At 39.9% G+C, this 18040-nt stretch overlaps 1 annotated feature.

Annotated features, from left to right (window-relative positions):
* Window positions 8611-9111: an enhancer, noted in NCBI's record as "H3K4me1 hESC enhancer chrX:68668613-68669113 (GRCh37/hg19 assembly coordinates)". NCBI's record gives its function as "activates a minimal SCP1, AML or CMV promoter by ChIP-STARR-seq in primed H9 embryonic stem cells {active_cell/tissue: H9 hESC(primed)}" and the evidence as "EXISTENCE:reporter gene assay evidence [ECO:0000049][PMID:30033119]".

Raw genomic sequence — 18040 nt, 5'->3', positions numbered from 1 at the left:
TCAGAAAACCACAATAAAGCTTTTTGCCCACGCTTTCCCTTCACTCTTTCAGCCACGTAATTTACTGGCCTGGTACTTTTCCATGCTGTCCTGTGTGGCATTGCTTATGCCCTTCTCTTAGGATCTTGTAACAAACTATCTTTTCAACGGTAATCATCTCCTGATCTGTTGGCCTCACTATACCTGAATAAAAAGAAAATCCAGATACATTTAAAACACCTTAAAGTGGTAAGAAATTGATATTAGTAGTCTTTGATAAGTTACACATGCATATTGTAATAACAATATAAAACAATAACTACACAAACTGATACACTTAAAAACACTAAAAATCAATGTTTAATTAACACACAAGAAGCAAGAAAAGAGAAACAGAGGAATGGGAAACAGGAACCAGAAAGCAAATAGCAAAATGTCACATTTAAGCCCTAAAATATCAATAATTACCTTAAGTGTTAATGGTGTAAATACACTAATTAAAAGAGAAATTGGTAGAGTGGGTTTTTTTAAATGACATATTTGCTGTTTACAAGGAGTTCACTTAAATTTATCAACATAGGTTGAAAATAAAAGACTTGCCATTCAAACATAAAAAGGCAGGAATGGCTGTGTTAATATTCTATAAAGTAGATGTCATAGCCAATAAAATTATTACAGACAAAGAAGGATATTGCATAGTCATGAAAGGATCAATGCACCAAAATGACATAGTGATCTCCTATGTGCACACCCCAAAAGAGAGCCTCGAAACACATGAGATAAAAACTGATAGAACCGAAAGGAGAAATAGAAAAATCCACAATTATAGTGCGGAACTTCAACACTATCTTCTTAGCAACTGATAGAACTTCTAGATAGAAAATCAGCAAGCGTATAGAACTGAGCAGAACTTCTAGACAGAAAATCAGCAAGTGTATAGAACTGAACAATACCATAAACCAATTGGATCTGACTGACATATATTGAGCAGAATACAAATTGTTTTCAAATGCCCATGAAACATCCGCCAACATAGACCATATCCTGGATCATAAAAAAAAAACCTCAAAAATTTTTAAGAATTGAAATCATACAGAGTATGTTCTCTGGCCATAATGGAATCAAACTAGAACTCAATAACAGAAAGATGACTGTAAAATCTCTAAAGTTGTGGAAATTAGTCAACATACATCAGAATAATTCATGGAATTATTAGACTCAAAGGAAAATTTAAAATATATAGAACTGAACTAAAGTGAAAATACACATATCAAAATACAGAGAATGCAGGTAAGGTAGAGCTGAAAGGGACATTTTTAGCATTAAATGCTTACATTAGAAAAAGGTAGCGTCTCAAATCAATAATATAAGTTCTTACCTCAGGAAACTAGAAAAGAAGAGCAAAATAAACTTGAAAGAAGCAGAAGGAAGAAAACAATTAAGAACATAAATCAATGAACTGGCAGTAGGAAAACAATAGAGAAAATAAAGAAAACAAGAAGGTGGTTCTTTAAAAATAAAAGCGATTAACCTTTAGCAAGACTGATAAATTAAAAAGAGAGAAGACACAAACCACCAATATCAAGAATGAGGCAGGATAGCAACACAGATCCTAAGGCTATTAAAAGGATAGTATGGGAATACTATAACAACTTTACACTCATAAATTCAACAACTTAGAAGAATTGGACCAGTTCCTTAAAAACCACAAACTGTCAAAACTCACCCAATAGGAACTATATTATTTGACTAGCTCTATAGCTATTAAGGAAATTTAAAACTCCTGGAAAAGAAATCTCCAGGCCAAGATGTTTTCACTGAATATTCTTACCAAACATTTAAGGATGAATTAGCACCAATTTTATTCAATTCACTCCAGAAAATGAAAGAGGAAGAATATTTCCCAACTCATTTTATGAGTACTACCTTGATATCAAAAATAGACAACAAAAGTACAAGAAAAGACAACTGCAGACCAACATCTCTCATGAACTTAGACACAAAAATTCTCAATAAAATATTAGTAATCCAAATCTAACAATTTATTTAAAAAAATTATACACAGTGACTAAGTGGGGTTTATTACTGGTATAGAAACCTATTTTCATCATTTGAAAATCAGTCAAAATAATTCACCATATCAATAGTTAAAGAAGAGCGCATACAATCAACAAGCAATCCAATTTAATGATGGACAAAGGGAAGGAGGGTCCTTTTTTAGAAACAGGGTCTCGCTCTGTTGGCAACACCATAGCTCACTGCAGCCTCGAACTCCTGGGCTCAAACAATCTTCCCGCCTCAGTCTCCCGAGTAGTTAGGACCACAGGCATGAGCCACCATTCCTCTAATTTGTTATTATTATTTTAGAGATGGGGTTGCTATGTTGCTCAGGCTGGTTTCAAACTCGTGGCCTCAAACAATCCTCCCACCTCAGCCTCCCAAGTAGCTGGGATTACAGGTGCGAGCCACTGTGTCCAGTGGAAGGAGAGTGTTTTAAACTAATGGTGCAGGAACAATTGGACATACATAGGCAAAAAAAAAAAAAAAAAGAAAAAAGGAAGAAGAAAGTAGAAGAAGAGAAGAAGGAGGAGGTGGAGGAGGAGGAGAACCTCAAACTAAACCTCTCAACTCATGTAAGGATTAACTCAAAATGGGCCACAGACTTAAATGTAAAACATGAATCTGTAAAACTTTTAGAGAACAAAACAGGAGAAAGTCTTCAGAATCTAGGGCTAGGCAAAGATTTCCTAGACTTGCATCAAAAGCATGATGCATAGAAGGAAAATTGATAGATTGGATCCCATCAAAATTAAAAACCTTCACTTTGGAAAAGATCCTGTTAAGAGAATAAAGACAGAAGCTACAGGCTGGGGGAAGATATTCGTAAGTGATATATCCAATAAAGTACTGGTATCTAGAATATATAAAGAATTATCAATACTCAAAAGTAGAAAAACAAAACAATCCAATTAGAAAATGGACAAAAGACATGAAGACATATTTCACCAAAGAGGATATACGGATGGCAAATAAGCACATTAAAATATTTATAGCATCATTATCCATTAGGGAAATACAAATTAAAACCATAATAAGGTATCACTACAAACATCAGCATGGCTAAAATTTAAAAAACAGTGACAACACTAAATGCTGGTGTGGACGCTGAGAAACCAGATTCCACATAAATTACTAGGAATATAAAATGGTATAGTCATCTGAAAAACAGTTTCGCTGTTTCTTATAAAACTAAACCTGCAGCTACCATGTGATCCATCAATTAGACCCCTGGGGATTTATTCCAGAGAAATGAAAACATGTTTACACAAACACCTGTACATGAATATTTATAGCAGCTTTATTCATAGTAGCCAAAAATTGGAAACAATACAGATATCTTTCAGTGGGAAAATGATTAAACAAACTGTGTTACTTCCATATCATGGAATACTACTTTTTTTTTTTTAAGATCTTTCTCTACTTTATTTATTTATTTTTTATTTTTTTATTTTTATTTTTTTTATTATACTTTAAGTTTTAGGGTACATGTGCACATTGCGCAGGTTAGTTACATATGTATACATGTGCCATGCTGGTGTGCTGCACCCATTAACTCGTCATCTAGCATTAGGTATATCTCCCAATGCTATCCCTCCCCCCTCCCCCCACCCCACAACAGTCCCCAGAGTGTGATATTCCCCTTCCTGTGTCCATGTGATCTCATTGTTCAATTCCCACCTATGAGTGAGAATATGCGGTGTTTGGTTTTTTGTTCTTGCGATAGTTTACTGAGAATGATGATTTCCAATTTCATCCATGTCCCTGCAAAGGACATGAACTCATCCTTTTTTATGGCTGCATAGTATTCCATGGTGTATATGTGCCACATTTTCTTAATCCAGTCTATCATTGTTGGACATTTGGGTTGGTTCCAAGTCTTTGCTATTGTGAATAATGCCGCAATAAACATACGTGTGCATGTGTCTTTATAGCAGCATGATTTATAGTCCTTTGGGTATACACCCAGTAAAGGGATGGCTGGGTCAAATGGTATTTCTAGTTCTAGATCCCTGAGGAATCGCCACACTGACTTCCACAATGGTTGAACTAGTTTACAGTCTCACCAACAGTGTAAAAGTGTTCCTATTTCTCCACATCCTCTCCAGCACCTGTTGTTTCCTGACTTTTTAATGATCGCCATTCTAACTGGTGTGAGATGGTATGTCATTGTGGTTTTGATTTGCATTTCTCTGATGGCCAGTGATGATGAGCATTTCTTCATGTGTTTTTTGGCTGCATAAATGTCTTCTTTTGAGAAGTGTCTGTTCATGTCCTTCACCCACTTTTTGATGGGGTTGTTTGTTTTTTTCTTGTAAACTTGTTTGAGTTCATTGTAGATTCTGGATATTAGCCCTTTGTCAGATGAGTAGGTTGCGAAAATTTTCTCCCATTTTGTAGGTTGCCTGTTCACTCTGATGGTAGTTTCTTTTGCTGTGCAGAAGCTCTTTAGTTTAATTAGATCCCATTTGTCAATTTTGTCTTTTGTTGCCATTGCTTTTGGTGTTTTAGACATGAAGTCCGTGCCCATGCCTATGTCCTGAATGGTAAAGCCTAGGTTTTCTTCTAGGGTTTTTATGGTTTTAGGTCTAACATATAAGTCTTTAATCCATCTTGAATTGATTTTTGTATAAGGTGTAAGGAAGGGATCCAGTTTCAGCTTTCTACATATGGCTAGCCAGTTTTCCCAGCACCATTTATTAAATAGGGAATCCTTTCCCCATTGCTTGTTTTTCTCAGGTTTGTCAAAGATCAGATAGTTGTAGATATGCGGCGTTATTTCTGAGGGCTCTATTCTGTTCCATTGATCTATATCTCTGTTTTGGTACCAGTACCATGCTGTTTTGGTTACTGTAGCCTCCTAGTATAGTTTGAAGTCAGGTAGTGTGATGCCTCCAGCTTTGTTCTTTTGGCTCAGGATTGACTTGGCAATGCGGGCTCTTTTTTGGTTCCATATGAACTTTAAAGTAGTTTTTTCCAATTCTGTGAAGAAAGTCATTGGTAGCTTGATGGGGATGGCATTGAATCTGTAAATTACCTTGGGCAGTATGGCCATTTTCACGATATTGATTCTTCCTCCCCATGAGCATGGAATGTTCTTCTATTTGTTTGTATCCTCTTTTATTTCCTTGAGCAGTGGTTTGTAGTTCTCCTTGAAGAGGTCCTTCACATCCCTTGTAAGTTGGATTCCTAGGTATTTTATTCTCTTTGAAGCAATTGTGAATGGGATTTCACTCATGATTTGGCTCTCTGTTTGTCTGTTATTGGTGTATAAGAATGCTTGTGATTTTGTACATTGATTTTGTATCCTGAGACTTTGCTGAAGTTGCTTATCAGCTTAAGGAGATTTTGGGCTGAGACAATGGGGTTTTCTAGATATACAATCATGTCATCTGCAAACAGGGACAATTTGACTTCCTCTTTTCCTAATTGGATACCCTCTATTTCCTTCTCCTGCCTAATTGCCCTGGCCAGAACTTCCAACACTATGTTGAATAGGAGTGGTGAGAGAGGGCATCCCTGTCTTGTGCCAGTTTTCAAAGGGAATGCTTCCAGTTTTTGCCCATTCAGTATTATATTGGCTGTGGGTTTGTCATAGATAGCTCTTATTATTTTGAAATATGTCCCATCTATACCTAATTTATTGAGAGTTTTTAGCATGAAGCGTTGTTGAATTTTGTCAAAGGTCTTTTCTGCATCTATTGAGATAATCATGTGGTTTTTGTCTTTGGCTCTGTTTATATGCTGGATTACATTTATTGATTTGCGTATATTGAACCAGCCTTGCATCCCAGGGATGAAGCCCACTTGATCATGGTGGATAAGCTTTTTGATGTGCTGCTGGATTCGTTTTGCCAGTATTTTATTGAGGATTTTTGCTTCAATGTTCATCAAGGATATTGGTCTAAAATTCTCTTTTTTGGTTGTGTCTCTGCCCGGCTTTGGCATCAGAATTATGCTGGCCTCATAAAATGAGTTACGGAGGATTCCCTCTTTTTCTATTGATTGGAATAGTTTCAGAAGGAATGGTACCAGCTCCTCCTTATACCTCTGGTAGAATTCGGCTGTGAATCCATCTGGTCCTGGACTCTTTTTGGTTGGAAGCTATTGATTATTGTCACAATTTCAGATCCTGTTTTTGGTCTATTCAGAGATTCAACTTCTTCCTGGTTTAGTCTTGGGAGGGTGTATGTGTCGAGGAATTTATCCATTTCTTCTAGATTTTCTAGTTTATTTGCATAGAGGTGTTTGTAGTATTCTCTGATGGTAGTTTGTATTCCTGTGGGATCGGTGGTGGTATCCCCTTTATCATTTTTTATTGCATCTCTTTGATTCTTCTCTCTTTTTTTCTTTATTAGTCTTGCTAGCAGTCTATCAATTTTGTTGATCCTTTCAAAAAACCACCTCCTGGATTCATTAATTTTTTGAGGGTTTTTTTGTGTCTCTATTTCCTTCAGTTCTACTCTGATTTTAGTTATTTCTTGCCTTCTGCTAGCTTTTGAATGTGTTTGCTCTTGCTTTTCTAGTTCTTTTAATTGTGATGTTAGGGTGTCAGTTTTGGATCTTTCCTGCTTTCTCTTGTGGGCATTTAGTGCTATAAATTTCCCTCTACACACTGCTTTGAATGCGTCCCAGAGATTCTGGTATGTTGTGTCTTTGTTCTCGTTGGTTTCAAAGAACATCTTTATTTCTGCCTTCATTTCGTTATGTACCCAGTAGTCATTCAGGAGCAGGTTGTTCAGTTTCCATGTAGTTGAGTGGTTTTGAGTGAGATTCTTAATCCTGAGTTCTAGTTTGATTGCACTGTGGTCTGAGAGATAGTTTGTTATAATCTCTGTTCTTCTACGTTTGCTGAGGAGAGCTTTACTTCCAAGTATGTGGTCAATTTTGGAATAGGTGTGGTGCGGTGCTGAAAAAAATGTATATTCTGTTGATTTGGGGTGGAGAGTTCTGTAGATGTCTATTAGGTCCACTTGGTGCAGAGCTGAGTTCAATTCCTGGGTATCCTTGTTGACTTTCTGTCTCATTGATCTGTCTAACGTTGACAGTGGGGTGTTAAAGTCTCCCATTATTAATGTGTGGGAGTCTAAGTCTCTTTGTAGGTCACTCAGGACTTGCTTTATGAATGTGGGTGCTCCTGTGTTGGGTGCACATATATTTAGGATAGTTAGCTCTTCTTGTTGAATTGATCCCTTTACCATTAAGTAATGGCCTTCTTTGTCTCTTTTGATCTTTGTTGGTTTAAAGTCTGTTTTATCAGAGACTAGGATTGCAACCCCTGCCTTTTTTGTTTTCCATTTGCTTGGTAGATCTTCCTCCATCCTTCTATTTTGAGCCTATGTGTGTCTCTGCATGTGAGATGGGTTTCCTGAATACAGCACACTGATGTGTCTTGACTCTTTATCCAATTTTCCAGTCTGTGTCTTTTAATTGGAACATTTAGTCCATTTACATTTAAAGTTAATAGTGTTATGTGTGAATTTGATCCTGTCTTTATGATGTTAGCTGGTTCTTTTGCTCCTTAGTTGATGCAGTTTCTTCCTAGTCTCGATTGTCTTTACATTTTGGCATGATTTTGCAGCGGCTGGTACTGGTTGTGCCTTTCCATGTTTAGCGCTTCCTTCAGGAGCTCTTTTAGGGCAGGCCTGGTGGTGATAAAATCTCTCAGCATTTCCTTGTCTGTAAAGTATTTTATTTCTCCTTCACTTATGAAGCTTAGTTTGGCTGGATATGAAATTCTGGTTTGAAAATTATTTTCTTTAAGAATGTTGAATATTGGTCCCCACTCTCTTCTGGCTTATGGGGTTTCTGCGGAGAGATCTGCTGTTAGTCTGATGGGCTTCCCTTTGAGGGTAACCCGACCTTTCTCTCTGGCTACCCTTAACATTTTTTCCTTCATTTCAACTTTGGTGAATCTGACAATTATGTGTCTTGGAGTTGCTCTTCTCGAGGAGTATCTTTGTGGCTTTCTCTGTATTTCCTAAATCTGAATGTTGGCCTGCCTGGCTAGATTGGGCAAGTTCTCCTGGATAATATCCTGCAGAGTGTTTTCCAACTTGGGTCCATTCTCCCCATCACTTTCAGGTACACCAATCAGACGTAGATTTGGTCTTTTCACATGGTCCCATATTTCTTGGAGGCTTTGCTCATTTCTTTTTATTCTTTTTTCTCTAAACTTCCCTTCTCACTTCATTTCATTCATTTTATCTTCCATTGCTGATACCCTTTCTTCCAGTTGATCGTATCGGCTCCTGAGGCTTCTGCATTCTTCACGTAGTTCTCGAGCCTTGGTTTTCAGCTCCATCAGCTCCTTTAAGCACTTCTCTGTATTGCTTATTCCAGTTATACATTCTTCTAAATTGTTTTCAAAGTTTTCAACTTCTTTGCCTTTGGTTTGAATGTCCTCCCGTAGCTCAGAGCAATTTGATCATCTGAAGTCTTCTTCTCTCAGCTCGTCAAAGTCATTCTCCATCCAGCTTTGTTCCATTGCTGGTGAGGAACTGCATTCCTTTGGAGGAGGAGAGGCGCTCTGCTTTTTAGAGTTTCCAGTTTTTCTCTTCTGTTTTTTCCCCATCTTTGTGGTTTCATCTACTTTTGGTCTTTGATGATGGTGATGTACAGATGGGTTTTTGGTGTGGATGTCCTTTCTGTTTGTTAGTTTTCCTTCTAACAGACAGGACCCTCAGCTGCAGGTCTGTTGGAGTACCCTGCCATGTGAGGTGTCAGTGTGCCCCTGCTGGGGGGTGCCTCCCAGTTAGGCTGCTCAGGGGTCAGGGACCCACTTGAGGAGGCAGTCTGCCCGTTCTGAGATCTCCAGCTGAGTGCTGCAAGAACTACTGCTCTCTTCAAAGCTGTCAGACAGGGACATTTAAGTCTGCAGAGGTTACTGCTGTCTTTTTGTTTGTCTGTGCCCTGCCCCCAGAGGTGGAGCCTACAGAGGCAGGCAGGCCTCCTTGAGCTTTGGTGGGCTCCACCCAGTTGGAGCTTCCTGGCTGCTTTGTTTACCTAAGCAAGCCTGGGCAATGGCGGGCACCCCTCCCCCAGCCTCGCTGCTGCCTTGCAGTTTGATCTCAGACTGCTGTGCTAGCAAGCAGCGAGACTCCATGGGCATAGGACCCTCCCAGCCAGGTGCGGGATATAATCTCGTGGTGCACCGTTTTTTAAGCCGGTCGTAAAAGTGCAGTATTCGCGTGGGAGTGACCCAATTTTCCAGGTGCGTCCGTCACCCCTTTCTTTGACTCGGAAAGGGATCTCCCTGACCCCTTGCACTTCCCAAGTGAGGAAATGCCTCGCCCTGCTTCGGCTCGTGTACAGTGTGTGCACCCACTGACCTGCGCCCACTGTCTGGCACTCCCAAGTGAGATGAACCTGGTACCTCAGATGGAAATGCAGAAATCACCCGTCTTCTGCATTGCTCATGCTGGGAGCTGTAGACAGGAGCTGTTCCTATTAGGCCTTCTTGGCTCCTCCCCAGAATACTACTGTTATGGGCGGGTCTTTGTTCTTAGAGCTCCCAAGATGGGATGGGCCACTCCCAAGATGATGGCAAGCCTTTTGTTCTCTGATCTGGGGTTCTTGGCCTCACGGATTCCAAGGAATGGAACCTTGGGCCATGTGGTGAGTGTTATAGCTCTATTAGAAGCCATGGGTCCTAGAAGAGAACCATGGAACCCAGCGACCAGTTTTCAGCTCAATTAGGATGAACCTGGGCACTTAGCCATGCAGGAAAAATGACGAGCCTTTAGCCCAGTCAGGAGCGGCAATGGGCACCTTGCTGTATCAGAAACACAGTGGATACCCTGCCAGATCTGGAGGGGTGGAAGTCAGTGTTTGCCATGGTGGCAAACAGCAGTGGTGGACGGTGAGCGAAAGCTCAGCTCCAACTGTAACAAACAAGGACCAGAAGAGTGTGCAGTTGCAAGCTTTAATAGAGTGAAAACAGAGCTCCCATACAATGGGAGGGGACCCAAAGGGGGTTGCCCACTCCCTGCTCAAATGCCTGGGTTTATATCCTGATCATTGTCCCTCCCCCTGTTCTCTCAGGCGATATATGATTTGACTATTTCTTTACCTCCTGCTTTTAGCTTAATTTGTATTTTAGTGAGCCCTTTTTACTACCTGATTGGTTGGGTGTGAGCTGAGTTACAAGCCCCGAGTTTAAAGATAGGCATGGTCACCTTCCCCAGCTAGGCTTAGGAATTCTTAGTCGGCCTAGGAAATCCAGCTAGTCCTATCTCTCACTACTCAGCAACAAAAAAGAACAAACTTGATGAACACAACCACTGGGATAAATCTCCAGGGAATTATGGCCAGTAAAAAACACTAACCTTGAAATATTACATACTGTATGATCCCATTTATATAGCATTTTTGAAATGACAAAATTATAGAGATGAAAAAAAGATAAGTGGGTGCTAAGGATTAGGTATGGGAGAGGGAGCAGGAAGGAGGTGGGTTATAAAAGGGCAACATGAGGGAGCCTGATGGTGATAGAACTTTTATATCTTAACTGTGGTGGCAGATACATGAATTTATAAGTAATAGAATTGCATAGTACTAAATGCACACACACAAATAAATGATTATAAGTAAAACTGGAGAAATTTGAATAAAATCAATGGGTTGTTTCCATGTCAATATCCTGGTTGTGATATTGTGCTATAGTTACGTAAGATGTTACCATTGGGGGAAACTGGGTAAAAGATAATGGGATCTCTCTGCATTATTTCTTGCAAATGCACGTGAATCTATAATTATCTCAAAAGTTTTTATTTTAAAAATCTGAAAATAATTTCCGGTCTTTTTCAAATAGTATATTGCTCCTTTTTCCTTTTCTTGTTTTAAGTTTTATTTCTTTTACCATATGAGACATATATTCTGTACCTGCTAATTCCATTATATGGATTTCATAGAGGTATAATCCTGTTGTCTTATTTCTGCCAATTCTCACTAATGGTGTCATATTTCCTCATGCCTTTTGTTTCTTTGAATTGTGAGCTCAGTTTTATGTGGCTTTATTTGTCAGAGTTCTGTATGGCCTGGGTTGAAGTTCCATCCTTGCAGTTGATTTACCTTTGCTTCTACTAGGCACGCCAGACCACTACCAATCTGGGAATACTTTTGTTAATATTTAGTTGCAATTTCCTGGACATACAAGTCATATAAATTTTAGCCTTAACTCTTTGTGGTACGAATCCTTAAAAGAGACTTCACTGATACATATACAATAATGCTAAAGTCAAAACAGCTAAGTGCTTGTTTTCTCATATGATTATGAAGTGGGATTTTTTTCTAGTCTATACTTTACTAAGGTTTGGTTCATTGGGGGCCTTCATTAGTGTGTGTGATGGTTTTAATTCTTACTCTTACTTCTTACAAGGGCCCAGAGCCTTTTTCTGCTACACCCATATGTCTGTTAAATCAAAAGCTGCATGATCAGAGATCTAAATGTGAAAAGCAAAACAATAGAGCTTTTAGGGAAAAAAATAGAGAATATCTTCATGACCTTAAGATAAGCAGAGATTTCATGATCAGGACATAAAAGTACTAACCATTTAAGAAAACATTGTTAAATTGGATTGTATTGAAACTAAGAACTTCTGTTTATCAAAAGGTACCATTAACAAGTGAAAAGAGAAGTCACAAAGCAGGTAAAGGTATTTGCAATGTATAGATCCAACAGAAGATTGTATCTAGACTATATAAGAAACACTTGTAAATCACAAAGAAAAACAAAAATAACCCCCCCAAAAAAACAAAGATACTGGAATGACTAGTAAACATATGAAAAAGTATTTAACTTCATTAGTCATCAGGGAAATGTGAATTAAAACCACAGTGTGAAATTTCTTTATACCTACCGGAATGGAAAAATGTGAAATAATAAAAAATTAATTGTATTAAATGTAAGCAGTCTTATACACTGCTGGTGGGAGGGTAAATTTTTACAACAAATTTGGAAAACTGGAAGTATCTAATGAAGCTTAATATACACATATCTTATCTCTCAGCGATTCCACTTCTAGTATATGCCTAACAGAAATACAAATATTTCTCCATCAAAAGACATGTATAAGACAATGCATCATTATTATCAGCATTATTTGTAATAGCTCCAAACTGGAACATTCCAAACATTCATCACCAGTATAATGGATAAATAAATTGTGATGTGTTCATACACTGGAATACTATACAGCAATGAGAATGAACAAATTACACCTCCATCCAAAACACGGGTGAATTTTACAAGCGAAGTATTGAGCAAAAGAGGCCAGATAAAAAAGTACATACTATATAAGTCCATTCTATAAAGTTCCAAAACAGATAAAATTGACCTACAATGTTAGAAGTTAGAATAGAGTTACCTTTGGGAGATAGTGACAGAACAGGATGTAAAGTGAGGCTTCTGGGGTAATGCTCTGTTTCTTGATCTGGGTGTTGGTTACATGGATTTGTTCACTTAAAGAAAATTTATTGGCCAGGCAAGGTGGCTCACGTCTGTAATCCCAACACTTTGGGAAGCTGAGGTGGGCAGATTGTCTGAGGTCAGGAGTTTGAGACCAGTCTAGCTAACATGGTGAAACCCTGTCTCTACTAAAAATACAAAAAAATTAGCTAGGTGTGGTGCCATGCACCTGTAATCCCAGCTACTCAGAAGGCTGAGGCAGGAGAATTGCTTGAACCAGGGAGTTGGAGGTTGCAGTGAGCCGAGATCTTGCCACTGCGCTCCAGCCTGGGTGACAGAGCGAGACTCCATAAAAAAGAAAAGAAAAGAAAAGAAAAGAAAAGAAAAGAAAAGTTATCAAGCTAGACACTTAAGATATATACACTTTTCTATTTATATGTTATACTTCAATACAAATTAACTTTCGGAAAATAGAAAAAGAACTGAGGCCCAGGTTTGGATATGGAAAAATAAGTAATGAGAGGTCATTGGTATCTTAAAGTTAAAAATTGTTTTTTCGTTTTGCCAAATTTTTACTTTAGTTAGAGTTAGTTTACTTTAATTAGAGTTAATTTAATTAAAGTTTTACTTTAAATTCGTTAATTATGACCAATGTCATAAAGCTTTTCCTCTATGTTTTCTTTTAGGAGTTTTAGTATCAGATTTTATGTTTAAATGTTTAACCCATTTTGAGTTTATTTTTGTGTAAGGTGTAAGATAAGGGTCTAATTTCATTCTTTTGCATGCAGGTATTGAGTTTTCCCAACACTATTTGTTGAAGACACTGTCCTTTCCCTGTTGTGTATTCTTGGTACCTTGGTTGAAGATCAGTTAACTATAGATGTGTGCGTCTAATTCTGTGCTCTCTATTCTGTTCCATTGGTCTATAGGTCTGTTTTTATGATGGTACTGATAAAAACTTAATATCCAAAATACAAGGAGTGGCCAAATGGCTGACTAGAAGCAGCTAGTGTGCATGGCTGTCATGGAAAGGAAGAGAAAGGGTGAGTAAATACAATATGCTCAACTGAAACATCCAGGTATGCCCATTGGGATTAATCAAGGAAACAACTTGACCCACAGGGAAGGGAGAAAAGTGAGACAGGACAACAGCCCACCTGGGAGCAACACAGAGCCAAAGGATCCTCCCATGCCCAGGGAAGTAATGAGTGAATGAGTGACCCCTGGAAACCATGCTTCTCCCACAGATCTTTGCAAACCTCAGGTCAGGAGATCTTGTGAACCCACTCCACCAGGGCCTTCAGCATTCAGTCTGACAGTCAGAGCTATGTGGAGTTTCAGCAGAGCTCAGGCGTGCACAGAGACCCTGGAGCCTTAGATACTTGGGATTTCTGGCAAAAGTAGCTGCAGCTTCAGCAAAGTGGGAAAGTAGAATAGTAGGAAAGAGGCAGAATCCAGAGGGCTGAGCAGCAACAGCCTGCAGGCCCCACTTCCATGGCACCTCACAAGATAAGACCTACTGGATTGGAGTTCCAGCTGGCTACCAGTAGTGGCATTACACCTCCCTAAGAAGGAGCTCCTTGGGGGAGGTGTAGTCCACCATCTTTGCTGTTCGGGTACCTTAGCTGTTCTAGCCTTCAGGCTTTGGAGAGTGTGAGCTGACGCAGGGCAGAACTGATCCTCTGGTACAGCACAGCTTCTCTACCAAAATGTGGCCAGACTGCTGCTTTAAGTGGATGCCCGATCCCATTCCTCCTCGCTGGGTGGGACCTCACAACCAGGTCCTCCAGCCACCCCTGCCCAAGCTCTACATCTGACAGAGATCTGAATTCCCCCTGGGATGGTGCTCCCAGAGGGGGAGGTGGGCCACCATCTCTGCTGTTTGGGTGACTTAGCCATTCCAGCCTTTGAGCTTCAGAGTGTCTGAGGTGACCAGGGGCTGAAGTGGACCCCCAGCACAGCACAACTGTTCTACCAAAACGTGGGCAGACTGCTTTTTAAATCAGGTCCTGATCCTGTTCCTCCTCACTAGTGTGACCTCCCAACTGGGGTCTCCAGTCACTTCCTACAGGTGCCTTTGGGCTGGCAACAGGTCTGAACCTCCCTGGGAAAAAGCTCCCAGGGGGAGGGCAGGCTGCCATCTTTGCTGTTTTGCAGTCTTCACTAGTGACACCTCCAGGTTCTGGAAAACCTGAGGTGACTAGGGACTGGAGCAGGCCCCAAGCATACTGCATCAACCCTGTGTAAAAGGGGCCAGACTGTAACGTGGATGCCTGTTCCCATAGCTCCTCACACAGGTCCTCTAGGCCTGGGCCTCCAGCCACTCCCCGCCAGAGCTATTGAGCCAGTAGCAACTCAGCAACTCCCAGGACAGAGCCCCCAGGGGCACCGGAAGCCTCTCTGCCACTGCCTTTCCAGTGGAACTTCCCTTGCCACCCTTGGACTAATGAAGGAGCAAAGACCCTAAGTACCTTATCCATACCATCAGCAAACTACAGTCAACCCAAGGAGAGGAGGCCAGTCTGTCTCCCATGGGTCCCACACACCCCTCAGAGCTCATCACCAGACAGGGAACCCCTGGCTTGTGGCCACAGCAGAAACCCTCCATCTTGGGCTGACTGCACTGAGAGATTGCTGTCCTACATCTCTCTGGGGTGGGGCCCCCAGGAGTCAAGCAAACAACCCTTGGCCCCAACCACTACTGAGATCCCTTCATCTGCTGTCTCTCACCTGGGGAAGAAACACAAACACTGAAATTGCCATGAACTACAGCCAGCACTCAAGGGGGAGAGGAATCCTCACTTTCAGAGAACTGAGAGGGAACATGGCTTCAACTGTGAGGAAACATAGGGGAATCACACAACTGAGCAAGAGTCTACCAACTGACCAGTAAGCCTAAGTGCCACCTGCTGGATCACACCCCAAAGCTTCAACACAAAAAAGACCTTGCTAACGTACACCCCTGTGAAACCAGAGAGAAGAAGTCAGCTTCAAATAAAGATCCTACACAAAGCCTCTGCCAGGTGAAAACATCCAGAAAGGAAGTATATTACTGTACTCAATCTACACTGCAGTTAAAGGAACAGCCACACACAGAGATGAGAAAGAACCAACACAAGAACTCCGATAACTCAAATGGCCAGTGTCATATGTCCTCCAAACAACCACACCAGTTCTCCAACAAGAGTTTTTAACCAAGCTGAACTGGCTGGAATGACAGGAATAGAATTCAGAATATGGATTGGAACAAAGATTGTTGAGATGCAGGAGGATGGCAAAACCTGATCCAAGGAAAATAAGAATCACAATAAAGTGATAAGGGAGCTGAAGAATGAAATAGCTGGTATAAAGAAAACCTAACACGTCGGACAGAGCTGAATAACACAATAGGATAATTTCACAATGCAATCACAAGTATTAACAGCAAAATAAACCAAGCTGAGGAAAGAATCTCAGAACTTGAAGACTGGTTTTCTGAAATAAGGCATTCAGACAAAAATAGAGAAAAAAGAATAAACAAAACCTCCAAGAAGTATGGGATTATGTAAAGAGGCCAAATCTATGAATCACTGGCCCCCCTGAAAGGGAGGGAGAGAAAGCAAATGACTTGGAAAATATATTTCAGGGTATTGTCCATGAAAACTTCCCAACCTTGATAGAGAAGCCAACAGTCAAATTCAGGAAATAGAGAGAACTCCGGCAAGATGATACACAAGGTCATCCCAAGACATATAATTGTCAGATTTCCCAAGGTCAAAATGAAAGAAAGCATGTTAAAGGCAGCTAGAGAGAAAGGGCAGGTCACCTACAAAGGGATCCCCATCAGGCTAACAGTGGACCTCTCAGCTGAAACCCTACAAACCAGAAGAGACTGGGGGACTAAATTCAACATTGTTAAATAAAAAAATTCTTCAACCAAGAATTCCATATTCAGCCAAACTAAGCTTCATATGTGAAGAAGAAAAAAGATCCTTTTCAGATGAGCAAATGTTGAGGGACTTCATTACCACCAGACTTGCCTTACAGGAGATCTTGAAAGAAGCACTAAATATAGAAAAGAAGGGCTGCTACCAGCTAATACACAAACACACTTAAACACACAGACCAGTGTCACTGTAAAACAACTACACAAACAAGCCAACATAATAACCAGCTGACAGCACAATGACAGGATCAAATCCCACATATCAACACTAACCTTGAATGTAAATAGGCTAAGTGACCCCACTTAAAAGGCACAAAGTGTCAAGCTGGATTAAAAAAAAAAGCAAGACCCAACTTTATGCTGTCTTCAAGAGACCCATCTCACAGGTAATGACACTCATAGGCTCAAAATAAAGGGATGGAAAAAAATCTAACAAGCAAATGAGAAACAGAAAAAAGCAGGAGTTGCAATTTTAATTTCAGACAAAACAGATTTCAAACCAACAAAAATCAAAAAAGACAAAAAAGGGCATTTCATAATGTTAAAGTGTTCAATTCAATAAGAAGACTTAACTGTCCTAAATATATATGCACCCAACACAGGATCACCTAGATTCATAAAGCAAGTTCTTAGAGACCTGACAACAGACATAGATTCCCACATAATAATAGTGGGAATCTTCAACACTCCACTGACAGTATTACACAGATCTTTGAGGCAGAAAATTAACAAAGATATTCAGGACCTAAACTCAGCATTGGATCAAATGGATTTGATAGACTTTTAAGAAGTCTCCACCCCAAAACAACAGAATATACATTCTTCTCATCACCACATGGCACATACTCTAAAATCAACCACATAACTGGACATAAAACAATCCTTGACAAATGTAAAAAAAATGAAATCATGCCAAACACACTCTCAGGCCACAGCACAATAAAAATACAAGTCAATACAATGAAAATTGCTCAAAACCATACAATTACATGGAAATTAAACAACATGCTCCTGAATGACTTCAGTAAATAATGAAATTAAGGCAGAAATCAAGAAGTTCTTTGAAAATAATGAGAACGAAGATATAATACACCAGAATCTCTGGGACACAGTTAAGGCAGTGTTAAACAGGAAATTCATAGCACTAAATACAACAAAAAGTTAGAAAGATCTCAAATTAGCAACTTAGATTCACAACTGAAAGAATTCAAGAGGCAAGAAGAAATCAACCCCAAAGCTAGTAGAAGATGAGAAGTAACAAAAATCAGAGCTGAACTGAAGAAAATCAAGACACAATAAACCATTCAAAAAAATAAACAAATCCAGGAGTTGGTTTTTTGAAAAAATTAATAAAATAGACAGGCCACTAGCTTAGACTAATTAAGAAGGAAAGAGACAAGATCCAAATAAATACAATTAGAAATGATGAAGGGAGGCTGGGTGTGGTGGCTCACGCCTGTAATCCCAGCACTTTGGGAGGCTGAGGTAGGCAGTTCACTTGAGGTTGGGAGTTTGAGACCAGCCTGGCCAACATGGTGAAACTCGTCTCTACTAAAAATTCAAATATTAGCAGCCAGTTGCTGTGGCTTACGCCTGTAATACCAGCACTTTGGGAGGCCAAGGTGGGCAGATCGTGAGGTCAGGAGATCGAGACCATCTTGGCTAACACG

Source organism: Homo sapiens, chromosome X (assembly GCF_000001405.40).
Source record: "Homo sapiens chromosome X, GRCh38.p14 Primary Assembly".
NCBI lineage: Eukaryota > Metazoa > Chordata > Mammalia > Primates > Hominidae > Homo > Homo sapiens.
The sequence above is the reverse complement of the archived record's forward strand: the minus strand, read 5'-3'. Positions and strand labels throughout refer to the sequence as shown.